Source organism: Homo sapiens, chromosome 3, assembly GCF_000001405.40.
Source record: "Homo sapiens chromosome 3, GRCh38.p14 Primary Assembly".
NCBI classification, from domain to species: domain Eukaryota; kingdom Metazoa; phylum Chordata; class Mammalia; order Primates; family Hominidae; genus Homo; species Homo sapiens.
The window spans coordinates 34,540,245-34,566,457 of NC_000003.12; the positions used below are offsets into that span (position 1 = coordinate 34,540,245).

General features: G+C 36.7%; 1 long non-coding RNA gene across 8 annotated transcripts; it reads left to right on the forward strand.

Annotated features, from left to right (window-relative positions):
* Positions 1 to 813: 813 nt before the first annotated feature.
* LOC102724048 (uncharacterized) lies at positions 814 to 22,851 on the forward strand. 8 transcript variants are annotated; one of them, XR_007095865.1, is made up of 6 exons: positions 814 to 4,442; positions 11,158 to 11,326; positions 11,642 to 11,744; positions 16,344 to 16,458; positions 18,935 to 19,125; positions 22,532 to 22,851. It is a non-coding gene; the product is annotated as an uncharacterized LOC102724048 (long non-coding RNA). The 8 variants fall into 8 exon arrangements; XR_002959624.2 differs by lacking the exon at positions 11,642 to 11,744 and having other exon boundaries at positions 3,142 to 3,632; positions 4,334 to 4,442; positions 17,739 to 19,125; positions 19,578 to 22,851; XR_001740646.2 differs by lacking the exon at positions 11,642 to 11,744 and adding an exon at positions 19,578 to 19,698 and having other exon boundaries at positions 16,344 to 19,125.
* The last annotated feature ends 3,362 nt before the right edge of the window (positions 22,852 to 26,213 follow it).

Genomic DNA, 26,213 nt, shown 5'->3' on the forward strand with positions numbered 1-26,213 from the left:
GAATAACAAAATGCAATAAAAGCCTCAGGGAATTCAAAAACAAAAACCGAAATTGCCTAATTCTGTCTGGGGCTGTCATGAATACTCAGAGAAAGCCTGATCTGAACCACAATTGGAAGAGTAAGTGATTTGCCACAGTGATCAAGAATGAGAGTGTTGGAGAGGGGAGAGGCAAATGAAGGCAAAGGTGTATTAGTATGAACAACCTGGTCAACTAGAAAATGTCCAAATAAATCAATGTGGCTAAAATTAGGGAATATGCAGTGTGGCCTGGACTGGTCATGAAAGCCCTGGAATGTCATCTACCATTTTTGCTTTTCTTCTTTGGGCATTAGGAGCCATGGACAGAAGAGTCTCTGAACTATTGCTTTGGCTAATTGTACCAGAAACTTTAATTATTGATTATATCTACGTCAAAATTTATATTTATCTTTCAAAAATATTATAAATATATAAGAATCTCCTTGTACTATATAGTAAGGACAATGACAAAGGCTCATAAGTATAGGGAAAGGAAGAGTAGTAATAAGAATATAAGAAAGCAAGGACAAAAAACCAAACACCGCATGTTCTCACTCATAAGTGGAATTGAACAATGAGAACACAGGGACACAGGAAGGGGAACATCACACACCGGGGACTGTTGTGGGGTGGGGGGAGGGGGGAGGGTAGCATTAGGAGATATATCTAAGGCTAAATGATGAGGTAATGGGTGCAGCACACCAACATGGCACATGTATACATATGTAACGAACCTGCACGTTGTGCACATGTACCCTAAAATTTAAAGCATAATAATAATAAAAAGAATTTACAAGGGAAAAAAAAGGAATATAAGAAAGCAACTGTGAATCTGAGGCTTCATTTTGAGTTTTCCCCCAAAACAAAAAGGGGAAAACTAAAAGCCTGATAGGTTACCTTTTTCTAACAAGGAACAACTGTCTCTACTTCGGGTTGCATGCTTTCTCAAGTTTGAGTTTAGACAGACCACTCTTTTGTGAATCTTTGCATAAAGGGTCATTGAATAATGGTCAGAGGCATTGTCTTTGAATGTTTTACAGATATGCTGAGGTTTGTACTTAGAACTTCTCATTTTACATTCAGCCTTTCAGTGAAAGGCGAACGTGAAGCTGACATTTTATAATGGCAAAACTTAGGGGGCCAGAGCTATAAGACATGTTCAGAAGACAGGGATATGTGTCTTTTTTTCTCTTGTATTGCTCATGGTACCTAGCACAAAGTTGGAGATGTGATAGACTCTTTAATACAGGTATTCTTATATGGTTTACCATGGCAAAATCAACTTTCAATTTTGTTTGGTTTTCAGAGTACTTTTCATGATAAAAAGGTTCATTTGTTTTACTCTCAGAGCATGCTCTGAGCTGAGAATTATAAACTAAAGGAGAAAATAATGATGAGCAAATAATTGCCCAGGCTCCTATGGAGAGTTCTCAGTAGAGCTGGATTTGGTAACTTGATGAGTTGTCACTGGCAAATTTAGCATTCACATGTCAGACCTAGAATAATGCTAGATGCTTATCCCTCTCGTATGGGAGCAGCCAGGAAGTCAGAAGAGGACCACAGACAGAGCGTTTGTTGGTGACAAGGGCTTTCATATCTTCAGAACTTGGCAATAAGTATTTTTAAATAATGGGAAGAATGAATTATTTGATTTCTGTGAATTTAAATTGCAAAAATGAAATATGTGGGAGAAAACAGGTGCCTCCATCTTTAACTGGAATTGACAAAGCAGCATTCACAAAGTGGCAACAATTTCCTTTGACATTTATGATTGCCCTAATGCTGTTAATCAGTGTGAGATTATTATTTTTCCTTTCACAAATGGAGAAACTGAGGTTCTGAGGGGTGAAGTGAGCTTACCCCATTCCACAAAACTTGTAACTGCTGATTCCCAGTTCTTTGTTCATTTTATTAGGCCATGGATGTTTCCTTAAATATATTTCTCTGGGAATAAAATTCTCTTACAGATCTTCTAGAAATGGGGATCTTGGCTTTCTGAAATGAAATTATGTATGGGCCAGAAGCCAGGAGATGGAACGTGTGCTTTCTTACGTGTTTTCCTTCCAGCTTCCTTAGTCACGATTCTTCATTATAACTTTGGTATCTCTGATATTGAGTTAACTTTGACGATGGTATGGATGATGGTGGATGGGTGGTACATACAACTTTGAAGCACATGATGACTCTCTGGCCACCTACTTTATTCTCGTATTTCCCAAGAGGAGGTAAATACTTCATTTTAGAGAAACTGGACTCTAACCTAAAGTGGCCGAGAAGTCTAACCTGCATTGTAATCTTCATCAAATGAAAACACTTTGTTCTTAAAAGTACACTTGTTCCTTCTTCTTGCCCTTGACAATTTTCTGTTTGAAGCAGCAAGGAACAGAGGAAAGATAACATAGTTTATTCTATGGATTTCTACCAGTTCAATTTTTAAAGTGTTAGCCTCTTAAAATAAATGTTTTCATAAAAGATCATGAAGAAACTCGGATTTTTGTCACTCCATCAATATGTAGGAGGAGGGTATGTCTGGGTAAGAGCCAAACAATTAAGGTGTTACTGACCAGAAGTCTCTTGGTTTGCTGTCATAAAATGTCACAACTATCAGCAACCACAAAATCTTCAATAAATGGCACTGCAGACAGAAATTTTTCTTAACAGTCTGGGTTTGTGAATTCTCTTTTTTCCTTTCTGGTTTCCCTCTGTAGATGTCTCTTTCTTCCTTTGTGCTTGGTCTCTCTGTTTCTCTTACTAACAACACACATATTTCTCCATCTCTGTATCATCATCTTCTATTAGTTTTTCACAAGTGTATTTCTGTGACTAAAAGGATCAACAGATGCTGACTTCAATATTGTGAAGCATCCAGAAAAAGAACAATTAATTTATAACAAACCTGCTTTGCTCTAACACTGACAGCTTTTGAAAATGTATACTGTATGTGAGATCCACATCTCATTTTGTTTTCATTTAGATGGTCAACAGCATTTAACTCGAAGTTAGGTTTAAATTCCCCCCATGAGACTTGTCAGTTTTTGTCAGAAATAAAACCAATGAATATTTCCATTTTAAATATTTAAAAGACCTTTTAAATAATGTGTTGATATTTTTGCTTGCATTTTTGTTATTATCTTAACACTCTCTATTGCTATCTGCTTCAATATAGGAAAAATGCAGTTACAAATGTTTCCTGGTTATAGTTATTAAGAATTATCCCTAATCTTAGGCTAGATATATACAGAAGATAATCGTGTTCTAGAGTGTTCCTGCTGAATAAAGTTGCCACTTAATAAGAAACAGATATCATGACTAGGTTGCCCTTGGAACTAACTGTCCAAGCGTGAACAAATATATATACTACATCACACATACACTCACAGTGCACAACACACTTATACACTTCTCACATACTCGCCTTTCTTTTACAACTTTCTGGCTCAGCATGCCCATGTCATGAGCTAATTCTGACCTAACAGAGAGGCTGTGCAGTCTTTCAGCTAGTGGAGGCTGAGAAAATTGTGCAGCAATAGGTCCAGTCCCTGGAAGATGAAGTTAGTTAGCATTTGGTGCCCAGCCAGCAGCAATGTGACTTAGGCTTTTCGTCCTAGTAGGTATGGAGTTCTGCTCTGAGCAACAATTCATTTATTTTGTGCCAATATTCTGACTAGCTCATTCTAGAATCTTCTATTTTGGTCAGAATCTGTCCTATATTCTTGGCTGTGGTTCAATTCTTTCAATCAAAGATCTGCCTAATCCTGTTTTCCCATAGCTAATGTTGACAGGGTTCACCACGCCATCTTCATCTCCGCCCCCACTTCTCATCTTCAGCCCAAACCAATCTTCATCTCTATCTTCATCTTTACTTCCATCCACACAGCAATCTTCAACTCCATCTACCAATACCAGTCTTAAGCTCCTGTGCCCCACCATCCTCAGTCATAGCAGTGCTCGATGTGATAACCTAATCAAAAATTTCAAACCAAACTGCCCAGCATTCATGGTTGTAAAGGACATGTAGAATCAGTCAACTGATAGATACAAAGTAACACTGAAACTGATTGAGCAATAATCAGAAAGTTGGCGCTGCAATAGCTTCCTCAGTTGTACCTCTCTGTCCACCGCCCAGCTCTTTCCTGTTGCTTCCAGTTCCTCTCACTTGTACTTCTTTATTAACTATTTGTTAACATAACTTTCTATGGTTTTCTTTCACCTAAGACCCAAACCTCTTCTCCTGGCTTGCATTTCCACGACTCCCTGCCCAAGCCTGAGGTTGCACAAGAAACATATCTCTAATTAATGTCCCCTGTTCCAGGAATTTGACTCATTGGGCCTGCAAAAGATTTTCGTGACAAATGAAATATTTTTCTAAACCAAGGACTTGGGGATAACTTCAGGGTCAAAGACATCTTATCATATTTAAGGTGTGACTCTTATCTCTGTCTGTTGTGTTGTAATGTGTCTGTTAGCATTTACTATTAATAAGAAAGTTTCTAAAAGCTATGTAGAAAATTTTAAAAAAGAATGATAAATTTTGCTGTAATAGAATCTGCTCAAGATAGAGCATTGAGATTAGCTGGCACACAAAGAGATAAAAATTTGTGCTAAGAAAGTCATTTAGTAGATAATAAATCTAACCCAAATGAGGCCTCTGGGTCCCACCCCAATGGATACAATACCCTAATTTCAGAAATGCAAATATTATGGGATTAAAACAAAATGGAATAGTGAAAGAAGATTAAGCATAACCTGATGCACTGTTAATCTCAACCTTCCTCTGAGAGTCATGTTTCAGAGAACGTAGCAAAGAACTCCCTAATGAAAGTATTTATGTCTGGGAGGCTATTCAATAGACGCAAACAAGTCTTGCTTAATATGTAGATGTTATGGAAGGGAGACTTGTATCTCCATTCTCTATGGCTTTCTGGAGGAATCATTGACCTATGTCATAGCCAGAATATATCAATATTGTTGGTAATCACAGCTCCCATCACACTACTGACACTGCAGCACCTGTTAATCGAACTTAGAAACACAAGACAAATTATACAATTTGTGAGGTGCCCAGAAAACAGCTACTGTGGAAAGTTAACATTTATAACAGCCTCATTACAAGTTTAGCTTATTCTAAGCTACACTGGATCTTGACTTTCTTACTGATTTATTATATTCTCTATTCTGAAGATTATTTAAATGTATTAGAAAACAGTGGGCTTTTTCAATAACAAAAAGCATTAAATAAAAAAGTGAAAAGAATGACACTTTATAGAATTCAATGATTTTTACAATGCTTCACATCAATAGGGAATCATCAATACTAGTCAAATCCGCACTGAAATTTCCAACAACTGAAAATACAAATTCCAGCTGTCCAATTTCAAGTCAACACAGCTTGTCTAAATTCAACCCTTTGACATTAAAAACAACTTGAAATTTATTGAACTCCTTTAAGCTGCAGTTTAGACTTGTCAGATACCCATAGAGCACAACTGAGCTGAGAAAATCCAACTTCTGTCATATATAAGGATTACAATCAACCAAATTTTCCTTTTATGTCTTCCAATCAGGTTCCTATTCAATGCACTGTTTGGTTCCTGATGTTACTGAGATTCGCAGGGCACCATTTTTATGCACAGTGGGATCAATTTTTTTTTCTAGCCCAACCTAGAATAGACTTTTATTTCTAGAACTTAAGGCCTTTTGGGAGTCAGAAAATAAGATTGTTTTAATTACTATTTGCCTCTTTGAGTACAAAAATATTCTGGACAGGTTAAAATCTTTCAGGCAATATATTATCAAAAGAATTGCTGACTTTCCTATTATAAAGCATCAAAAAAAAAGGAATAGGCAATATGTTATCAAAAGAAATTTGAATTCTCATTTATGGATCTAAAATTCAAGGCTTGCTACATGCCATTGTGTCATAATTTCTAATTATTTTGATATTGTAGGTTCACGGATTTTTCTTTACCTCTGAGTCATTCTGTAGAGCAGGAGTCTTTGGAAACAAAAATTTTATATTTTGTTCAGCTTAATAAACATATTCTTAATATGTATTTTGGACTAGATCTGGAGTGAGGCTCTGACAAGACAGAAATGGAGCAATCCTTGCCGTCATGAAGTGCACAGTTTGGCAAAAGAGCTAAAATAAAAAAGTCTATGAACATGAAGCTCCTAGGATAGAGGGAAGAAAAGATGCTAGACAGTGGATCTGCTGCCTCCCAGCATGATAATGGTGGCTGCACCAACTTCTTTGTTTTTTAAGGCATGAAAACACCAGTCTTGTGTGTGTGTGTGTGTGTGTGTGTGTTGGTGGTGGTGGTGAGGGGTGTTTGAGGGTGGGGCGGTCAGCTTCTATAGATCAGTAAATATCTCCAGATCTCATCCTGCTTAGTCAAGGCTTCTTTCCCTTCCATCTGCCTTTGCCAAGACACTGAAATGTAAAGCAATGGCATGTATAGTTAGTCCTCTCTATTTGCAGATTTCACATATGTAGATTCAACCAACTATGGATTGAAAATATTTGGAAAGTAATTAGATCTTTAGTGAACATGTACAGGCTTTTTTTCTGTCATTATTCTCTAAACAATATGGTTTAACTGCAATTTACATAGCATTTACATTGTATTAAGTATTATGAGTAATCTAGAGATGATTTGAAGTATACGGGAGGATGTGTGTAGGTTATATGCCATTACTATGCCATTTTATATCTGAGACTTGAGCATCTGTAACTTTTGGTATATGGGGGAGGTCCTCAAACTAACTCCCTTCGAGGGACAATTCTCCTGTTAGAGCTTTTCGATAACCTACAGTGGCCATAAAGATTTCTTGTGTGTATATCATGGGCTATAGAGTGTGTACTATGTGCAGGGCATGGGCACTGCATTACATGTGGAGGTAGAGAAGCAAAAAAGTCTCAATCAGTTCTTTTAATATTAAAACTCATAAAGCCAACTATTTGGTGGTGAAGACAGGAAAAAAACAAGTAAAGGAAGAAAATATAGTTTTTTATTGGTTCTATGAAGAAAAAGAACAAGGTATGGCAATAGAAAATGGTCTCTGTAAGGCAGAAACATTAAAAGTGGGATTTGACACATGAGGAGCAAGCCACACAAGGCTATGGAGGAGAGAATGTTTCAGACCATGAGGATGAAGCTAGAGGGAATGGAGAGTGAAAATGGAAGAGAGTAGTAAGAAATGAGGTTTGGTGTTTGGTTAGGATATTGGCAAGGCTTTGTGGGTTGTGACTAAGAGTGAGGATCTTATTCAGCTCCCATATGAAGACACTAAAAGTTTTGAAACTTCTCATATGTCACCACATATGATTTGCATGTTTAAAAAGACTCTTCCAATTGCTTCATGGGAAATGGAGATTTGTGTCCAAGGGATGAGAGGAATACCAGCAGTTGCACTAGCCTAGGCTGTTGCAGTAATTTAGACAAACATTGCTGGTGGCTTGGCCTGGGGCAGAGATCGTGGAAATGCTAATCCTAAGAAACAAGAATGTGGCAACTTATCCTACGTGGTCTGTTTTTCATGTCAAAATATACTCCAGCTTTTCCAACAAAACTGTCCTTCATGAACCTGTTTATTCCTTCAGCCAAAATAGGAATGTGTAGTTGGCACTGCATTACATGTGGAGGTAGAGAGGCAAAAAAGTCTCAATCAGTTATTTTAATATTAACATTCATATTCAAATGGGGGAAGATACAGACTTACAGTTTATAGTGGACTAACAAGGGCAGCTCTATAAGCTTAGGCAAAATGAATCAATTGCATGTAGAAGAGGATGATCTCCCATTAAGAAATGTTACTCTACATTGTGTGTGTGTGTGTGTGTGTGTGTGTGTGTGTGTGTGTGGCAGAATTTTCCACTGAGGAGAGCACCTGGAAATCTTAAAACATCTAACATTCCAGGGATGTTGGGATCTGTTGGTATGTAAATGGCCTCAGCCATCACCTCCTTCACTTCTTGCTCTTAGAATACAATTTGACATAACTGCTGACTAAAAGATTATAAGGCTGTACTTTATTATATAGTTACAGGAAAGAAGCAACACACTGAAATGTTTCATGGTGGAGACTCAATGAGAATGATCAGAATTTAGGATACTCTTTGCCAAGTTATGTCAATAGAAAGTTTATTTTATGAGAAAATGAAAGATGTGGAATCCAGTGATTTATCTCAACAAGTTGCTAGTTTATCAGAGAAAGAGAAATCCCAAGAGAATAAGTAGCTATTAGTGAAATGGAACTTGTGTCTGACTTAGATGCAGTGTCCTCTTGTAGAGTGAGGACAAAGAACTGATTTTAGCCACCCATTCTACACCTCCAAGATACCATGGACAGTCTCAACCCATGGGGCATCCTAATGCCTGGTAAGGGATCCTAGAGAATCATATGATTTGGGAAGCTGTCACTTACCCCATATAATCCAGAGGACTGGAACCTAAAATATTTTTGAAGTGCTGGTAGCCAAAATCAGTTCTCTCATGAGCCCCCTACCATGCTCCCTGTCTTTGTCCGTTTCAGACTCATGTAATCGTGACCTAATTTTTTCCCTCTTGCTACTGAATTTACTGGAGAAAGAATTATTATTGATGCTAAATTAACAGGAGGCAATTAGCACGGGCTTTAGAAATGGCCAGATTTTTATTTGCATCCTAGCTTTACTACTTAGTAGCTGTGTAAGTTTGACCAAATGACTCAAACTCTGTCAGACTCAGCTTTTTTTTTTTAATTAAAAAAAATTTTTTTGAGACAGGGTCCTGCTCTGTTGCCCAGGCTGGAGTGCAGTGGTATGATCATGGCTAACTGCAACCTCAACCTCCCAGGTTCAAGCAGTCCTCTCATTTCATCCTCCTGAGTAGCTGGGACTACAGGCACATCACACCATGCCTGGTTAATGACATGATCTTATATATAGAAAATACTAAAGAATCCCAAAATAGAAAATATATATATTAGAATTAATAATTAATACATGAACTGAGCAAGGATGACAGATATATATTACAAATTTTGAATTTCTTTGTAGTGACAGGGTCTCACTGTGTTGCCTAGGTTGGTCTTGAGCTCCTGGGCTCAAGTGATTCGTCTGCCTCAGCCTCCCAACAGCTCCAGCTTTTCACATCAACAAAATGAGGATAACGATTATGGTTTTGGGAATATTGTGAGGTTTACACTAGATAATGAACGTGAAGTGCCTAGTTAGTCTGATGCTTGGTACATGGTAACACCCAACACATATTAAAATAATGCAATCAGATTTGGCTTTTTCCTAGGCACAAGATATGGCATTCTGTACTCTATTGCACTCCATCTCTCTGGACTTCTTGTCCTGTTTGGACTTCTCTCTTACATCTTGGCCCTTTTGAAATCTATTCTAATTATCCCACAACCCAAACTGTTATTTTGAATCGTTTCAGACACAGAAAAAAGTTGCAAAATAAAGTAACCATCTGTACTCAGTGACGCTTGTAATCCCAGAACTAAAGTAGGCCTAGGCGGGCGGATCACAAGGTCAGGAGATTGAGAATATCCTGGCAGGAGAATGGCGTGAACCCGGGAGGTGGAGCTTGCAGTGAACCGAGTTCGCGCCGCTGCACTCCAGCCTGGGCAACAGAGCGAGACTCCGTCTTAAAAATAAAATAAAATAAAATAAAATAAAATAAAATAAAATAAAATAAAATAAAATAACCATCTGTATACCATCTAGATTCAATAATTAATATTTCGCCATATTTGCTTTAATTTTCTGTATATTTCTGCTTTTTTGTCTAAGCATTTGATACAGACACCATGAGCATTCTCCCTAAATGTTTCATTCAGCTTATATTTTCTAAGAATAAAAATATTCTCCTTCACCACTACAATAACATTATGACTCTTAGGAATATTAACACTAATTTCACATAATCACTTAATATCCAACTCAGAATCAACATTTCTCAGCTGTCCCCAAATGTCTTTTATAGCTGCTGCTTTAGTCTTTAAAGCAGCATCTAATTAAGGTGCATACTTTGCATTTGGTTATATCTCTTTAATCTAGAACAGTTTTCCCACTTTTTTTCCATGACATTAATATTTTTTAGCACGCAGACTAGTTTTCTTGTAGAATGTCCTAACTTCTGAATTTATCTGATTAAAACCCATTCCTCTGACTCAAACCCACATTTCTTACTCAGTGCCCCAATGTTTTTTTGAGTTGCCACCTTGTTGCTATAATAGATGTTAATAACCTTGAAACCTTCTTCTAGCCTGCAAGAAAATCATCAATGGGTCTTCAATATTAGTATTTTTATATTAATTTGATTGAGGGAAGTTCCAAGGTGGAAAGTCAGGCTTGGAGAAGACACTGAGGAGAACTCTGTGCTCTTTCCACCAAGAGGACTGAAACCTGGGAGACAGCCCCCCTTGCCAAGCATAAGGGAAATGCTGCCCTGGAGAAGGGCAGATGGCCAAAGTGACTTCTGGAAGGCCCTTATAGGTTACAGAGTCCACTGAGAGGTGGGCCCCTCAGCAAATTGCTCCTGCAGCACTCACCAGACAGCAGAGAGTTTCTCCTTGTGGTGCCTTGACTGAGGGCTGCAGAATTTTCATAGGTCTAGAGAGGCTAGTTTGCAAAGGGTTCTAATTGAATCCCTTGTGGGACTTTCATAGTTTCCAGACCACATTAAAGTCATGATCCTTGCAGAAGCAGCTCAGGAAATTTGTCTGGCTAGACATATTAAGTTTTGTTTCTGCCTCTTCCCTGTAGACCAGCAATGTCTAATGGAACTTTCTGCAGTGATTGCAATCTTCCTTTCCTTTTGCTGTGCAGTCCAATATGGATCTAGTAGCCACATGGGACTACGAACACTTGAAATGGGCTAGTGTGACTGGGGAACTGATATTTACATTTAATTCAATTTTAAATAATTTTCTTTTAAATATAAATAGCTATGTGTGGCTAGTGGCTACTGTATTGAACAGCACTGCTGTAGATGGTGTTACCACTGAAACCTAATTTCCAGATTTGGAGACAAGTGGCTACTTTGACTAGTTCCATTTTCTTTCTCTTCCCCCTCCTCATTGGTACTATAGGGAAACATACATTATTTTCAACTTCCCAGGTTCTATTTTCTCCTTTCCTAGAACAGCCACAGGATGTCTAGGAGCCAGCAGAGGGGCCAGATATGCTGCAGTTTATGCTGTAAAAGGAAGCCTGCCGCCGTGAGTGGTCCAGTGGGAGCTCTTGCTTTGTGTCCTCAGCCTTTCACCTTTCCATCTGATGACTTGCTCTGAATCTTCACTTCCTGGGCAGGTGAGCTGAGTCCTAGAAAGCACAGCTCACAGGAACTCTGCTTCAGAGTTGACAGAGATTTAATTTTCAGGACTAAATTTCTCTGAGAGAAGGTTAGCAACACTCTGGCTTTGTCTTAATAAGCTGTAGTTTGTGATGCAATTGCTGGATAAGACATGAACCATATTAGAACAGAATGGCAATAAAAATCACCACAAAATGAGAAGGAGAGTAACAATTACATTTTATTATGTGTGAAGTGCTCGGCACTTGTGTATTTTACATATATTTAATCTTTATAATAACTAACATAATAAGTATTTTGACTTCTTATAGATGAGGAAACATGATGTTCAGAAAGGTATATGACTTGATCAAGAACCCACAACCAGGCAATGAGAGGAATATGAGGCAAAATCCAATCTACTTGATTCCACAGGTAGATTCCACAAGCACTTTCTAGGGCTTCTAATTGTGACAGTGATTTTCTACTTTGAATCTGCCCTACCTCCTTCTCTGTCTCCGTCTCTCTCTTCCTCACACACACACGGTCTCTTTCACACACACACACACACACACACACACAAACACACACATTTGTGAATTTCCCAAGTACAAAAATTTACTCCTTCAATTTCCAAACTCTTAAATGGAAAATAACTTATCTTGACAGAATTGCCAAATACATGTATTGACTTACCTTGTCCTACTAAAAAATTAATCCTTTCTTGATGCACATAAATTATTATAGAACTGCAGTGTGATATATGCAAGTTTTAGTGAGACAAGTAGAACAGTTTGCCATACATGAACCAACTGCAGATCACTACAGTGTTTTTTTTAATATTGTGCTAAACTATACTTAACGTTCAATTTACCATTTTAACAATTAAGTGTACAGTTTAGTGGCATTAAGTACATACACATTGTTGTATAACCATCTCTATTACCTATCTTCAGAACTTTATCCAGCATTCCAACTGAAATTCTGTACCCATTAAATAATAACTTCCCACTCTCCTTTCCCCCAGCTCCTGGTAAGTATGATTCTACTTTCTGTCTTTGTGAATTTGACTTCTACATACATGGGCTTGGAGCTTCTTAGTCTGCCATTTTGCTGATATTACTTCTGAAGTCACCAAGTTTTTAAGGCCAATGCACTTCTTGTCCACAAGTGGTAGAGGTAAAAGATGAATTTAGGGTGTGCGTGTGTGTGTGTGTGTGTGTGTGTGTGTGTGTGTGTGTGTATTGCAGGAGGCAGGTGTGGGATCTATAAGGCAGACACAGTAAAACTGAAAATCCTTCATGGATTTAGTTCCTATTTTTCAAAGAACAAAGTAAGAGAATAGTTACCAACTACATATTCAAAATTACACTTTTCTTTCCCTCCTCCTGCCCTTCCTCCTTCCCCAAAAGGCAAGTTATGGTAGTCTCAAAGAGTAGAAACCCAGATAATTCAGGAGACAGATTTTTTTTTATTACTGGAGAAAATCAAGACTTGGTAATCATACTCATGAAATTTCCTATTTACTTCAGTGCCAATGGGGAACTGAATTTTGAAGACACCTGGGCATATTCAAATATCAACTGGTAGAACAAGCTGGGCTCTACTTTAACTCAGACTCACTAATTCGTTTGAATATTCTCTGACTTCTGTGTCCTCCCCTTCTCCCAAGAAATATAGAAGATTAAAAACCGAGTCTTATCCCTAAGATAAGAAGCTGAATTCATAAATTTTTGATTTGGTATATTATTTAATACTTCAGGATCTGATGCACTTTCAGTGAAAACAAGGCTTTTGTAATTTAGAGATACATGAAATTCTCATCACACAAGAAACGTTGATCCCTTTGAGTTATGCAGGGAGGAATAAATATCTAATTATTTTAACCTAATAATTGTCATTCCTTTTCATCTTCCAAAATGCTAGTCATTTCTCATTGTTTTCCCCCACCCCATTGGCTCTTTTAAAAAGTTATCCTTTTGAGTTCAGCAGGGATAAAAGAGGCTTAAAGATAAGAAATAACAGAAGTCCCTGCACTTCATGGGGATTACAAGTAGAATTAACATGGCTATATAAAATGAAGCCACAGCTCAGGGGTTGGGAATGACAAGGTTACTTATTCTCCTAAATCCTGGGCACCGGTTAAGTTGTTATTAATCACAGTGAATTCATGGCTGAGCCCAGGAAACTTCATTTGTAGCTGGCAAACTATTGGGCTTTTGAGTCTCTATCAAAGTATTCTTTCTAAAAGCAATATCTAAACATGGAAAAAATCTAGTTTTTGAAAACTGTCTAAAATGACGTTGTAAAAGTATCAATCTTCCCCCACCTCCATCACCACACCCCAGAGATAAGTACCTTTTAAACATTTTCTTTCTTCATTCTTTTGGCACTTCCCATTAGAATTTTAAATGTTTTTATTTCTGCTTCTATTTATTAAGCTATCAACTTTAGACAGCAACAGTCTACCTTATGCAATAAAAGATGAAGAGAGCCAGGCACAGTGGTGCATGCCTGCAGTCTCAGTTACTCAGGAGGCTGTGGCAAGAAATTGCTTGAGCCCGAGTTCAAGTCCAGCCTCAGCAACATAGCAGTAACATATTTCTAAAATTAAAAAAAAGAGATTTTAGAATTTTTAAAATTACTTTACTGTATATAACTTATCTTTATACTTCAATGTTGCCAATTATATTATTTTAGTTCTTCTAGTAATTCCCTTTTTAACTGTAAAAGATATATATTCATATTTGTATTTCTTGATTTACCAATGCTAGAGATTGTTAGAAGGTAGAATAAATACATATTTAATTGTTTCTATTTCTTCTCATTTCTTCACCTATTAATCTTTGTTGTTGTTTTCCTTTTTGTTTTTTATTCTTTTTTCAAATCAGAATTTCCACAAATATTCGTATTTATTTATTAATACCATATATGTTGTCAAGGCTTATAACATTTATATTGTTCTCATTATACTTGTTTTTTTGTGTGTGTTTTGTCTGTAGGCTGATTTTCAAATTGAAGTTCTCCAAAATAGTATTTACAGTAGAGTCATGATTATGTGACTGTTACTCATTTTGAACCAAGTGAGCAACTCTTCCCACAAAGGAGGACTTTTAATTCTGTGTCATTAAATCCTGCTACCTCCACTCCCAAAATAAATACTTTAGTGTGGAGACCCAGGAGGTTCTGTTTTGGAGCTTTTTTTTTTTTTAGTTTTCTGGGTACAATCCAATGCTGCTGTTCCTTATAATTCACTTCATCTTCTTTTTACATTTTTTCCCCAGAGTACCCTCTTTGATGGGTTGTTTTTAAATACAATTATCTGATTTTAATGCTTTATGAGAGCTTACATTCCTGAAAGGTATTTTGTCCAATATTTGTTTAATGGTTTGGCTGGGTATATATTTCAAGGTTGAAAAAACAAATGTGAAAAAAAATTGCTACATTATCTTTCAGTGTCCATTGTTTATGGTAAGAAATTTGATGTTAATTTGTGTTTCTCCAACTGTGGAAGCTTTTATAATTTTCTCTTTGTTCTAGGACTTCTGAAATTGCTGGAACATTTTTCCTCATTGATTTTGCTAGTCAATCTGAAAATACATTATTTTTTAACTACAAGAAAACTTTCTTCGAGCTTAGTCTTGGTATTTAATGCTATCTATTCTCAATCCAACTACTGAGTTTTTTTTTTTTTTTTTTTTTTGCAATAAAATGTTTATTTTTTTGAAAGTTTCTTTTTTCTGTTTGCTTCATTTCTCCAGAGGCCCATTTTTGGTTTTGGGAGAAAAAACTTTTTGTTCTTTCTGAAAATTACTTACTAGAATAATTTATATTCTAATAATATTATATTCAGAATATTTTATTCTGAATATGGTTATTATTTTATTCTGAATATGCTTATTAGAATAATTTAAATGTTCTTTTCCTTGATCAACTCTAATTTAGCTGGGATCAGATAATTCTTTTTTTCCACTTTAGGCTTCTTTTTTCATGCTGTAAATTTTCTTCAAATGTCTCAGGTCCTTGTGGTTCAGTTTAATGACTGACTGTAACAGATAATTTTTGTGACGTATGCCATGTTCTGTGATCTCCTTTTGGTTTTAGCTGCCACTCTGGTGGACATGACCCTGGCACTGCCAATGACCTACCTCAATTGCTTGCTATTTCTCTCTACAGTTTTGCCTTCTGGGTTTGGAAACATGCTAAGTCTTACTCAGTTCATGGGCCAGAGAGCATGGACATATTCATTGGATGATGCCTCCAGGGACAACCCTACCCATGGTGGGACTGGCAGGGGGATCAATGGATAAATGCCTCCGCTTTCTGTTTTTCAGGGAAACAATTCTGGGTCATGTTCTATGAGGTTCCTAAAGGTTCCCAGCAGGATGGAGTCCTAGTGGCCTACAATGGCAATCCTCAAATAACACATCCTTTATTGAGTTTTCTTGTTCCTCTCTTTTCCTACTGTTGCTGTTCTTCATACCTGCTTCCTGGGATCACCTCCCATATAAATCATGTTCTTGTTTAAGTTTGATTTTGTAGGTATCTAAACTAAGTCAGGGTAATTAGGATATGTAGGAGGCTTGGAATAAGGAGTTTCTCTGGAACTCTGTAAATTTCCCTCTCCAACAACCCTTTTCCTTGGATAGGAGAACTGACTTTGAGTTCTGTGTGTACCGTGGGGTGTTTTAACAAACAACTTCCCTGTAGAATGCCTAGATGTTTTCAGGTGTGTTTTTCTCTCTTCCATTTGCCCTGTCAATATCTTTTATCTATTTTCTATCTACTACAATTTCCTCTCATTTTCTAGTCCATGAATGGCACCTTTTTTATTCGCTTAAATAGACCATGTATTAGGTAAACATACATATGCTGGGTCTATCATCTTGAACAATTTCTCTTATTTTAGATGATGAAATTATAACTGACTTAAATGACTTCTTTAGTCACATAGACATGGAGCCTCAGAATCTAGTAAAACTAACTTCTTCAGATTCTAAATCTTGTGTCTTTCTGTTTCATAATTTTGCTTAGAGCTCTGAGTATAGATGAGGCAAACTTCACATGGAAAAGAAGCCATATTTTGAAAAAACTACACGGAATCAAAGAGAACTAACTCAAAGAAGCAAAATTTTGGAGATAAAACAAGGTATCTGATAGCAGTAGTGATCTCAGGGTGGATGACCCCCTACTGTTGCTCCTTCTTTTAAATAAAACTCTTACTTGCAGGAGACATACTGAATGTATTTGACCTTGGTGGCAGCTGGAATTCAAAAATCCTGGGTTGTGTTAGTTGACTAAGACAACATTGTAGTACTGGTAGAGAATTCTAAAATCAGAAGAGCTTCAATCTCTTCTAATCTAATTGACTATGGAGATTCAGGCAAGTTATTCTGCCTCTGAGCCAGATTTAATTTCCTTATCTATAATGTAAGGAGAAAATCAATAACTTTAATATTCTCTGATTCAAAATGTAAGCAAACAGAGGAAGGTGATTGGCAACTTAGTTAATTGGCAGGGTTATTGGTAAAGAGTGAACACTGGGCATTATCCTTAAAGGTTATGACATTTGGATAACCATCTTGCATCTTGGTCCAGTAGGCCAGCTACAGTAATTGCTGTGGGTTATGCTGAGTCTAGGACTGGATTCCAATTAAGCTGTGATTTTTCACCAGTGCTAACTGTGGAAGGGCAGATCCATACAGAGCATTCCTCAGCTAGGTAGTTTGAATTATTCCTAGACAGATGCCTCCCATTGAAGAGCACCTGGCATTTTTACTAAGAGGAGATCTAGCCATTCTAGCAACTCTGATTCACTCTCCTTTTGTTCATCATCTATATTTCTCCATGGCTATCCTTCCAAAGAGAAGCTATTGCTATAGTACACCTAACCAGAACAACTTTACCTCAAGGACACAGCTTTATTATCTGCTGAGGACCCTGATCTAATACTGTCAGGGTAGAGCCTGGTGTTCTGGGGAAAATTTCAGGTTATTAAAGCCAGTCCTAATGGTTGGCTTAGATATGGCCTCTGTCTTGATTTCCCTGCATAGAACTTCTATCTTTTATTAATTTGGTGCCAGTTGTATATTTTAAAGGGAGAGCTGTGGGTCTTGATTTAAACCTGTATATACATACAAGTACCTTGTTTTGTTAAACTACATTGTCTTGCTCTTGTCAGTTTTATCCTTAGAGGTCTGGACGTGCCCCATCTCTGTACTTGATTCTGCTGAGAATACAGAGGTTGACAGTACCATCATGGCACACTACTCTGTGTGCACTGACCTAGGGCCTGGCACGCCTCATATAGATACCTCCTATCCCCTTTGTGCCTGCATTTGTCTCAACCACAGGCCACAGTAGCTAACATTCTCAGCTTTTGACCCACTAATTTTTGGCTTTTGCCCATCCCCATTGACTCCCATGTAGACCCTATGTTCACCAGAAGGATCCTCATGTCTGCAGACTACATTAAGAGGGAGGATATGCCTCTGTGAATCCAACTGATAGGTATCTCCTGTGTGCCAGGGAATGGCAGGGCCATGGCTCTCTCAAAGCCATGCTCATAAAAAGCCTCCTCTGCATCGACTTCCAGTCCCATTTGATTCTCAAGCAAGGAGTTCCATCCGAGAAGGAAGCTGTCACCTGTCACTCTTTTATGAATTCTTAAGGACAGTGGAAGAGTTGAAAGGTTGGCAATCACAATGACAATAGGCTATTACAAGCAGGTGAAGAGCCTTCTTCTTTTGCTCCTTACCCCCAACTGCTGTTCAAATAATCAAAAAAGGGTCCTCATTGAAACTGATTTAATTCTCAAGAGGAATGAAAGACATTTAAAGGGCAAGCCAACTTCATAAATGACATTAAAAGGTTTTAAAATAGTGTTTTGCTTCTAAAGGGTGTTTGTAAATGTCAGAGGTAACATATTGATTACAGTCCTGGCAGTTCTTGCTCAGGGCTTCTTAGCTGTCTTTGGCTTAACTCATGCTGTTGACTTATGCTCATGGTATGAAATATCTCAGCCATCTTACTTTGTTTGCTTAAACTTTTCCAACCTACCAGACTTTATCCACATGTGAATAAAAGGTACCATCAAATTAGTGGTGTTTATAATTTTTGTGCTTTTTAATGTCTCGTGAATTATATAAAGTTACGAAAATGGCTATAGGAATTGGCCTACAAACTCTTGAGATGTCCTATAAGTTCCTACAAGATATTGAAAGTTGGTTGCTTTGAGGATATAATTCTGAATGTTGAAGCAAATTAAAAAGCCAACTTGGAAGGGGATACATAATCCTCTTTAAGTCAAGATGAGGGGTATAACCTCCCCCATATATTCTGGGCCCAGTCGTCTGTGTTGAAAAGAACTCTGATAGTTTATTTGCTGATACTATTAATGGGAGCCAAAAACATTGTGGAGAAAGGTGATATTGTCATCGTGAATCTCTCTGAACTCCTGTTCCCAATTTGTAGCCAGTAAGAGAGCATGATTGCTCTGACTACAGGATTATACTAAGTCTCTAAGGAAATGAGAATAGTGCACATGTGTACTCTGATTTATAGTTTGCAAAGGCCATTCAATAATTGGTAAAGCCGAAACCAATGAATTTCCTTCTGATTTTCAGCACCATTCAGAATCTGGACATATAATATGTTTATGGCATTTAACCTAGTCAGACAGTAGATATTGCTCTAAGTCATGGCCTACACCTGTGAGCCTACTTATATCAGCATTTGCCAAATGTACTTGTAGCTGTGGTACTGACCTCAGAGAACTTAGCCAAAGAGCAAAGACTGCCTAATTCAAGAAGTACTGGTAAGTAATAGATATATTTTGGTTTACTGTTCTAAGAATTTTATACAATGTGAGGTGGGATAGGATAGACACTTCTTATTTTTATTATAAAAGTGATAACATTCCCATGATAAACTATAACAGTAATAAAATGTGTAATGTAAAAATTAAAATCCTATCCCTGATCACCCTCTCATTCTCTATCGGTAATCACTGTTAACAGGTTTTTTTTTTATATATATTCTCCAGAACCTGTATATTTTGCTAGGAGTAAACACCCATTCATACCCTTCTGCTTCTTTCTCCTCCCTTCTTCCCTTCCTCACTCCCTTCCTTCCTATTTTTTTTCATCTATATCATATAGGACATTTTCTTCTATCTGTACATGTATTAGACCATTCTTGCATTGCTATAAATAAATACCTGAGACTGGATAATTTATAATAAAAGTTTACTTGGCTATGGTTCTGCAGGCTGTACAGGAAGCATAATGCCAGCATCTGTTTCTGGTGAGGCCTCAGGAAGCTTTTACTTATGGTGGAAGGTGAAGGAGGAACAGGTGTCTCACAGGGCAAGAGGAGCAAGAGGGAGCAGGTGGGGATTGGTGCCACACACTTGTAAACATCCACATTTTGTGAGAACTCACTATCTCAAAAACAGCACCAAGCCATGAGGAATCCCTTCCTATGACCCAAACACCTCCCATCAGGCCCCACCTCTAAGATTGAGGATTATATTTCAACATGAGATTTGAGCACGGACAAATATACAAACTATATCAGTACATATAAATGTACTTCCTATTTTAATGACATTACATGGATGTGACATAATTCTTCAATCATATCCTTGTCAAGGTACATTTAGATTTTTTAAAGTTCTCTTTTGTTTCTTTGTTACTAAAAACAGTTCTGTAAATACCCTTAAACACAAAATTTATATGATTTTGCAATTTGGGTAAAAGCCTTACTTTCTTTTGCCCTAATTTTTTATTAAGACATTTCCAAACCTACAGTAAAGTTGAAAAAAAGCATCAAGAATGCTCAGATTACCAAAACAGATATATAGACCAATGGAAAAGAACAGAGCCCTCAGAAATAATACTACACATCTACAACCATCCGATCTTTGACAAACCTGACAAAAACAAGAAATGGGGAAAGGAGTCCCTATTTAATAAACGGTGCTGGGAAAACTGGCTAGCCATATGTAGAAAGCTGAAACTGGATCCCTTCCTTACACCTTGTACAAAAATTAATTCAAGATGGATTAAAGACTTACATGTTAGACTTAAAACCATAAAAAACCCTAGAAGAAAACCTAGGCAATACCATTCAGGACATAGGCATGGGCAAGGACTTCATGTCTAAAACACCAAAAGCAATGGCAACAAAAGACAAAATTGACAAATGGGATCTAATTAAACTAAAGAGCTTCTGCACAGCAAAACAAACTACCATCAGGGTGAACAGGCAACCTACAGAATGGGAGAAAATTTTTGCAATCTACTCATCTGACACAGGGCTAAGATCCAGAATCTACAAAGAACTCAGACAAATTTACAAGAAAAAAACAAACAACCCCATCAAAAAGTGGGCGAAGGATATGAACAGACACTTCTCAAAAGAAGACATTTATGCAGCCAAAAGACACATGAAAAAATGCTCATCATCACTGGCCATCAGAGAAATGGAAATCAAAACCACAATGAGATACCATCTCACACCAGTTAGAATGGCAATCATTAAAAAGTCAGGAAACAACAGGTGCTGGAGAGGATGTGGAGAAATAGGAACACTTTTACACTGTTGGTGGGACTGTAAACTAGTTCAACCATTGTGGAAGACAGTGTGGCAATTCCTCAGGGATCTAGAACTAGAAATACCATTTGACCCAGCCATCCTATTACTGGGTATATACCCAAAGGATTATAAATCATGCTGCTATAAAGACACATGCACACATATGTATATTTTGGCACTATTCACAATAGCAAAGACTTGGAACCAACCCAAATGTCCATCAATGATAGACTGGATTAAGAAAATGTGGTACATATACATCATGGAATACTATGCAGCCATAAAAAAGGATGAGTTCATGTCCTTTGTAGGGACATGGATGAAGCTGGAAACCATCATTCTCAGCAAACTATGGCAAGGACAAAAAACCAAACACCACATGTTCTCACCCATAGGTGGGAATTGAACAATGAGAACACTTGGACACAAGAAGGAGAACATCACACACCGGGGTCTGTTGAGGGGTAGGGGAACGGGGGAGGGATAGCATTAGGAGATATACCTAATGTAAATGATGAGTTAATGGGTGCAGTGCACCAATGTGGCACATGTATACATATGTAACAAACCTGCACGTTGTGCACATGTACCCTAGAAATTAAAGTATAATAAAAAAAAATGCTCAGATTTCCTTTACCTAGAGTCACTAATGGTGATTCATCCTTTACCACTTTTACTTGCACTCTCTCCTCTTTCTCTGCATATATATTGATATTTTTATATATTGCAGAATCATTTGAATGTAAATTGAAGATATAATGACATATCATTCCTAAATAATTCAGCATGTATCACCTAGTAACTAGGCCACTTTCCTACATAGCTATAATACCATTGGCACATGCAGGAAATAAAATTCACCCAATAATGTTATCTAGTATACTCAAGCTTTCTCATATTTTTTCAAAAACATTTTTATAGATGTTATAACTGTTGTGAATATCAGATCCAGGCAAATGCCATTCACTGCATTTTGTTGTTAAGTCTTTAATTCTATCTCCTTCAATCTAGCACAGTTATCTTGGCATTTCATGTTGTTGCTGTTGTGACATTGACTTGTTTGAAATATTTGGGTCATTATTTTACAGAGTACCCCACATCTGGACTTGTCTTTTTGTCCCCTCATGATTAGATTCAGGTTAAAGATTTGTTGCAAAAAAATATTGCACAGATAATGTTGTGTACTTCCCATTGCATCCCATCAGAAAGCAATGAGATTTCAGTTTGTTGGATAATGGGTGATGCTCAGACAATCACTTAGTTAAGGTTGTCTCTCTCCAGATCTCTCCATAGGAGTTTCTAATTATGCATTATATTAACATGTTTATTTTTAATAAGTAATGTATGGTTACTTTGAAGTTGTATGACTGTTCTATTCCCCAACATTTACCCAGCTTTTTGTTCTTCTATTGATGAACACTGCATGAATTAATGATCAGATTCCAATATTAAAATGGTGATTTTGTAATTCTACCATTTTTTCATTGGGTACCACTCATAGATTTCCCTCCCCTATCCCAGTATATTGTAATCCATCACTGTGCTCAAAGTGTACTAATTTTGCTGGTGGAGGCACTGTCTTTTGTCTGTATCCTATGCTCTGATACTTTTTTCTTGCTTTCTAGAGAAGATGTTCCAGGATTACTTCATGCTGTCCAGGTCCTAGACATGGAATCGTTTGCTTCTTCAAAAGTCTGGATCCCTTTAAGATACGAAATGTATTTAGAAACCAAAGTATGGATGCTAGGTGTGCTCATGGCCATTGGAGTGTGTTTCTAGACCCAGGAATAAGCAAACAATGGCCTGTAAACTATATCCTGTCTGTGGCCTGTTTTTGTACATCCTAAGAACTAAAAATTATTTTAAAAATTGTAAATGGGAAAAAGTCAACAACAACAAACAAATCAACAAATAACCCCACAAATAAACAGTTTCTTAAAGACCAGAATGACCAAGAAATCTATGAAACAGAGACCGTATACTGCCCAGAAAGCCTAAAGTATTTACTGTGTATCCCTTTATAGAAAAACTTTATCAATCTTGGTTCTATTTTTAGTATACAGAGCTAGGAAAAATTATTTCATAAATAATACTGAGTTTATAAAGAACTTAAAGGAGAACTACCATTTGATCCAGCAATACTATTACAGTGTACACATCCAAAAGAAATCATTCTACCAAAAAGACACCTGTGCTTGTATGTTCATCATAGCACTATTCCCAATAGCAAAGACGTAGTATCAATGTAGGTGTCCATCAACAGTGGATTGGATAAAGAAAATGTGGTATATCTATATAATGGAATACTACACAGCCATAAGAAAGAGCAAAATTAGGTCCTTTGAAGCAACATGGATGTAGCTGGAGGCCATTATCCTAAGTGAATTAAGGCAGGAACAGAAAACCAAATACTGCATGTTCTCAGTTATAAGTGGAAGCTAAACACTGGGTACACATGGACATAAAAATGGGAACAGTAAATACTGGTGACTCTAAAAATGGGGAGGAAGGGAGGAGAGCAAGGATTGAAAAACTATCTGTTCGGTACTATGCTCACTATCTGGGTGATGGACAGGATCATTTGTATCCCAAATGTCAGCGTTCATGCAATATACCCAGGTAACAAACCTGTACACATACCCCCTAAATTTAAAATAAAAGTTAAAAATATATTTTAAAAAACCTGTTACACATAAGTTTGCATAAATTGTGGCCACTTTAAAAAATATTGAGTTTATAATACCTCAACTTCAATTCTAACATCACAACTTTTTCCTATCCTTCTCACATTCTGTATTATTAATTTCCTTCTCCCAATTATCAGCAGAATTTCAACAACAGCAATATATTTTCTCTTTCCTATAATGTGTTCCAGTTTCAGAAATACAACATCAATACCAACTATTAGCAGAATTTCAACAACAGCAATATATTTTCTCTTTCCTATAATGCGTTCCAGTTTCAGAAATACATCAATACCATCACTAACAACGAATCTACTAATTCAAGTTCAAGATTTATTTACTTATTTGTTGTTCTTATATGCCATTAAGACTGTACAGTCAGGTTACTATGTTTAAAAGTAGGTCAATTAATCTCTGTGCCTTTTTCTATCAGTGTAGTATGCATTAGGTTAATTAGTTTCTTTTTGTATTCAATTTTTGGGTATTCCTTTTTCATACTTTTAAATTAATTTATATTTGAATATTATAAAATATTTATATGATTCAAACATTGAAATAATGTATCAAGCTAAACTTAGACTAATCTTATCCATCCCCAGAAATATTCTTTCTACCCTATTATCCACCCCTACATATAACTGTTTTAATTAGATTTAGCCTTCTGTGTTTACTTTTGTAAAAATGATAAATGAGTATATATACACACACATATAGAAACATATATACAAACATATTGACAATATATATTTCTATATTTTAAATCAGTGTACAAATTAATATATAATTAATATATAATCTGCTATGTATTTTTGTATATACATTTATTTTTATGTCATCTTTCTTATACAAGATGTAACATATTATATGTACCCCTTTATACCTTGACCTTTTCACTTAAAAATATACTTATGGATAGAAATTAATAAAAAAATCTTTTTCATTTTTCATGGCTGCAAAGTACTCCACTGTTTGGATGTATCATGATTTATCCAACCATTCTACTAAAGACAGGGTTGGATTTTTGTTTGTTTCTAATATTTCACTGTTACTGTGAATAATCTTGCATATATCATTTTTTATGGTGGAGGTGAGACTTCAACGTAAAATTTTCAGGATTGAGAAAACTGTCTCAAAGGGTCAATGCATGTGTAATCTTAGCAGACATTTCAAATTGTTCCTCCATGGGGGTCGTTCCATTTTTTTTTTTACTACCACCAGCCATGTATGAATATTCCTGTTTCTCCACAGCCTCACCAACTGAGTGAATTGTGCTTGTTAATCACTTGACTTTTTGCCAAGTTAATAGGTGAGAAGTGATTTCCCAACTTAGTTTTGGTTTGTATTCCTTTTTATTATAAGTTGAACAACTTTTTGTATGTTAAAGGACAGTTTATATTAATACTTCTTTTTTATATAATGACTACTTCTGTTTTTTACTTACCTTCCCACCAGATTTTAGGTAAATGACCTTATTCTTCATTAATTACATCTATATGAGAAGTCATGATTTGAGTCTGGCTCCATGCACTAAAATAAATATATGTTGTAATTACTCTTGGTCACTATGGCTCAGATGAAAAACAGTTTCCCTGCAACAAACAAATGCTTACTTCAGCGATAGAGTTTTGGGCCTGAGCTGATGTGCTAGGACTCATATAAATCAAGAATAATGCAATTGACAGTGATTGTAGACTGGGTGAATGGTTGCTGAGTTAAGATGTTATGAAAATCCACATTGAGAAAATGAGAATGATCTCATGACACAAGGAAAGTGGGAGAGTAGATATTAGCTGCAGGATCAAAGACTCAACTCAGACCCTCGTAGAATAGGTTCAAAACTGCCAGGTCCCATGAGGTTTGGCAGCTGCCCATTCCTGTGAGAGACGCCTAACAACCAGAGACAAATGGCTGCTACTGATTCTAGAAAGGCCTTCATTTTACTTCACAATGCCTGGAAAAATACATTTATCAAAGGACTCAAATCCAGGCAATAATAATGCCTATAAATCATAACAAAAAAGAAAAATACATTAGAAAAGTGGGAAAAAGTCTTAAACAGAAACTTCACAAGTAAGAGTATCAGTGTTTAATAAATAAACATAAACATGTTCAATCTCTTTAGTAATGCCAAAGAAAAATTGCATCTAATGGAGTCAAACAGGCAAGAAGACTTTATTCAAGACTATTGCAATAGGGGAGAGAGATGAAATTCAACTCCTCTGAAACTAAAGGCTGGACAGTTTTCAAGCACTGGGGTGAGCTAGTGGAAAAGTGCTGGAAGACATTAGTGGGGAGCGAGGTCCATATGATTAGGTCATCTGTATTTGCTAATTGGCACTTAGGGGAGTTAGGATTCTACCCTCCCACAGAAACTATAGGAGATAGAGGCTCCATCTTTCTTGATGATTGCATTTCAAAGGGATGGCTCCCAGGTCCTTGAGAAAGACATTTCTGGGTTTTAAAACTGGCAAAAGACAGGAAGAAAATGTAATTCTTAAAGAAGGAGAACTGTTCTGGGGCCTAAAGAAAAAGTGGTTCTGGGACCTAAAACCAGGAAGAAACTTGTCTAAAGTTTAATCAAGTTGAAGGGAATGTTAGTTCATCTTGATCATTTTCAAATTAT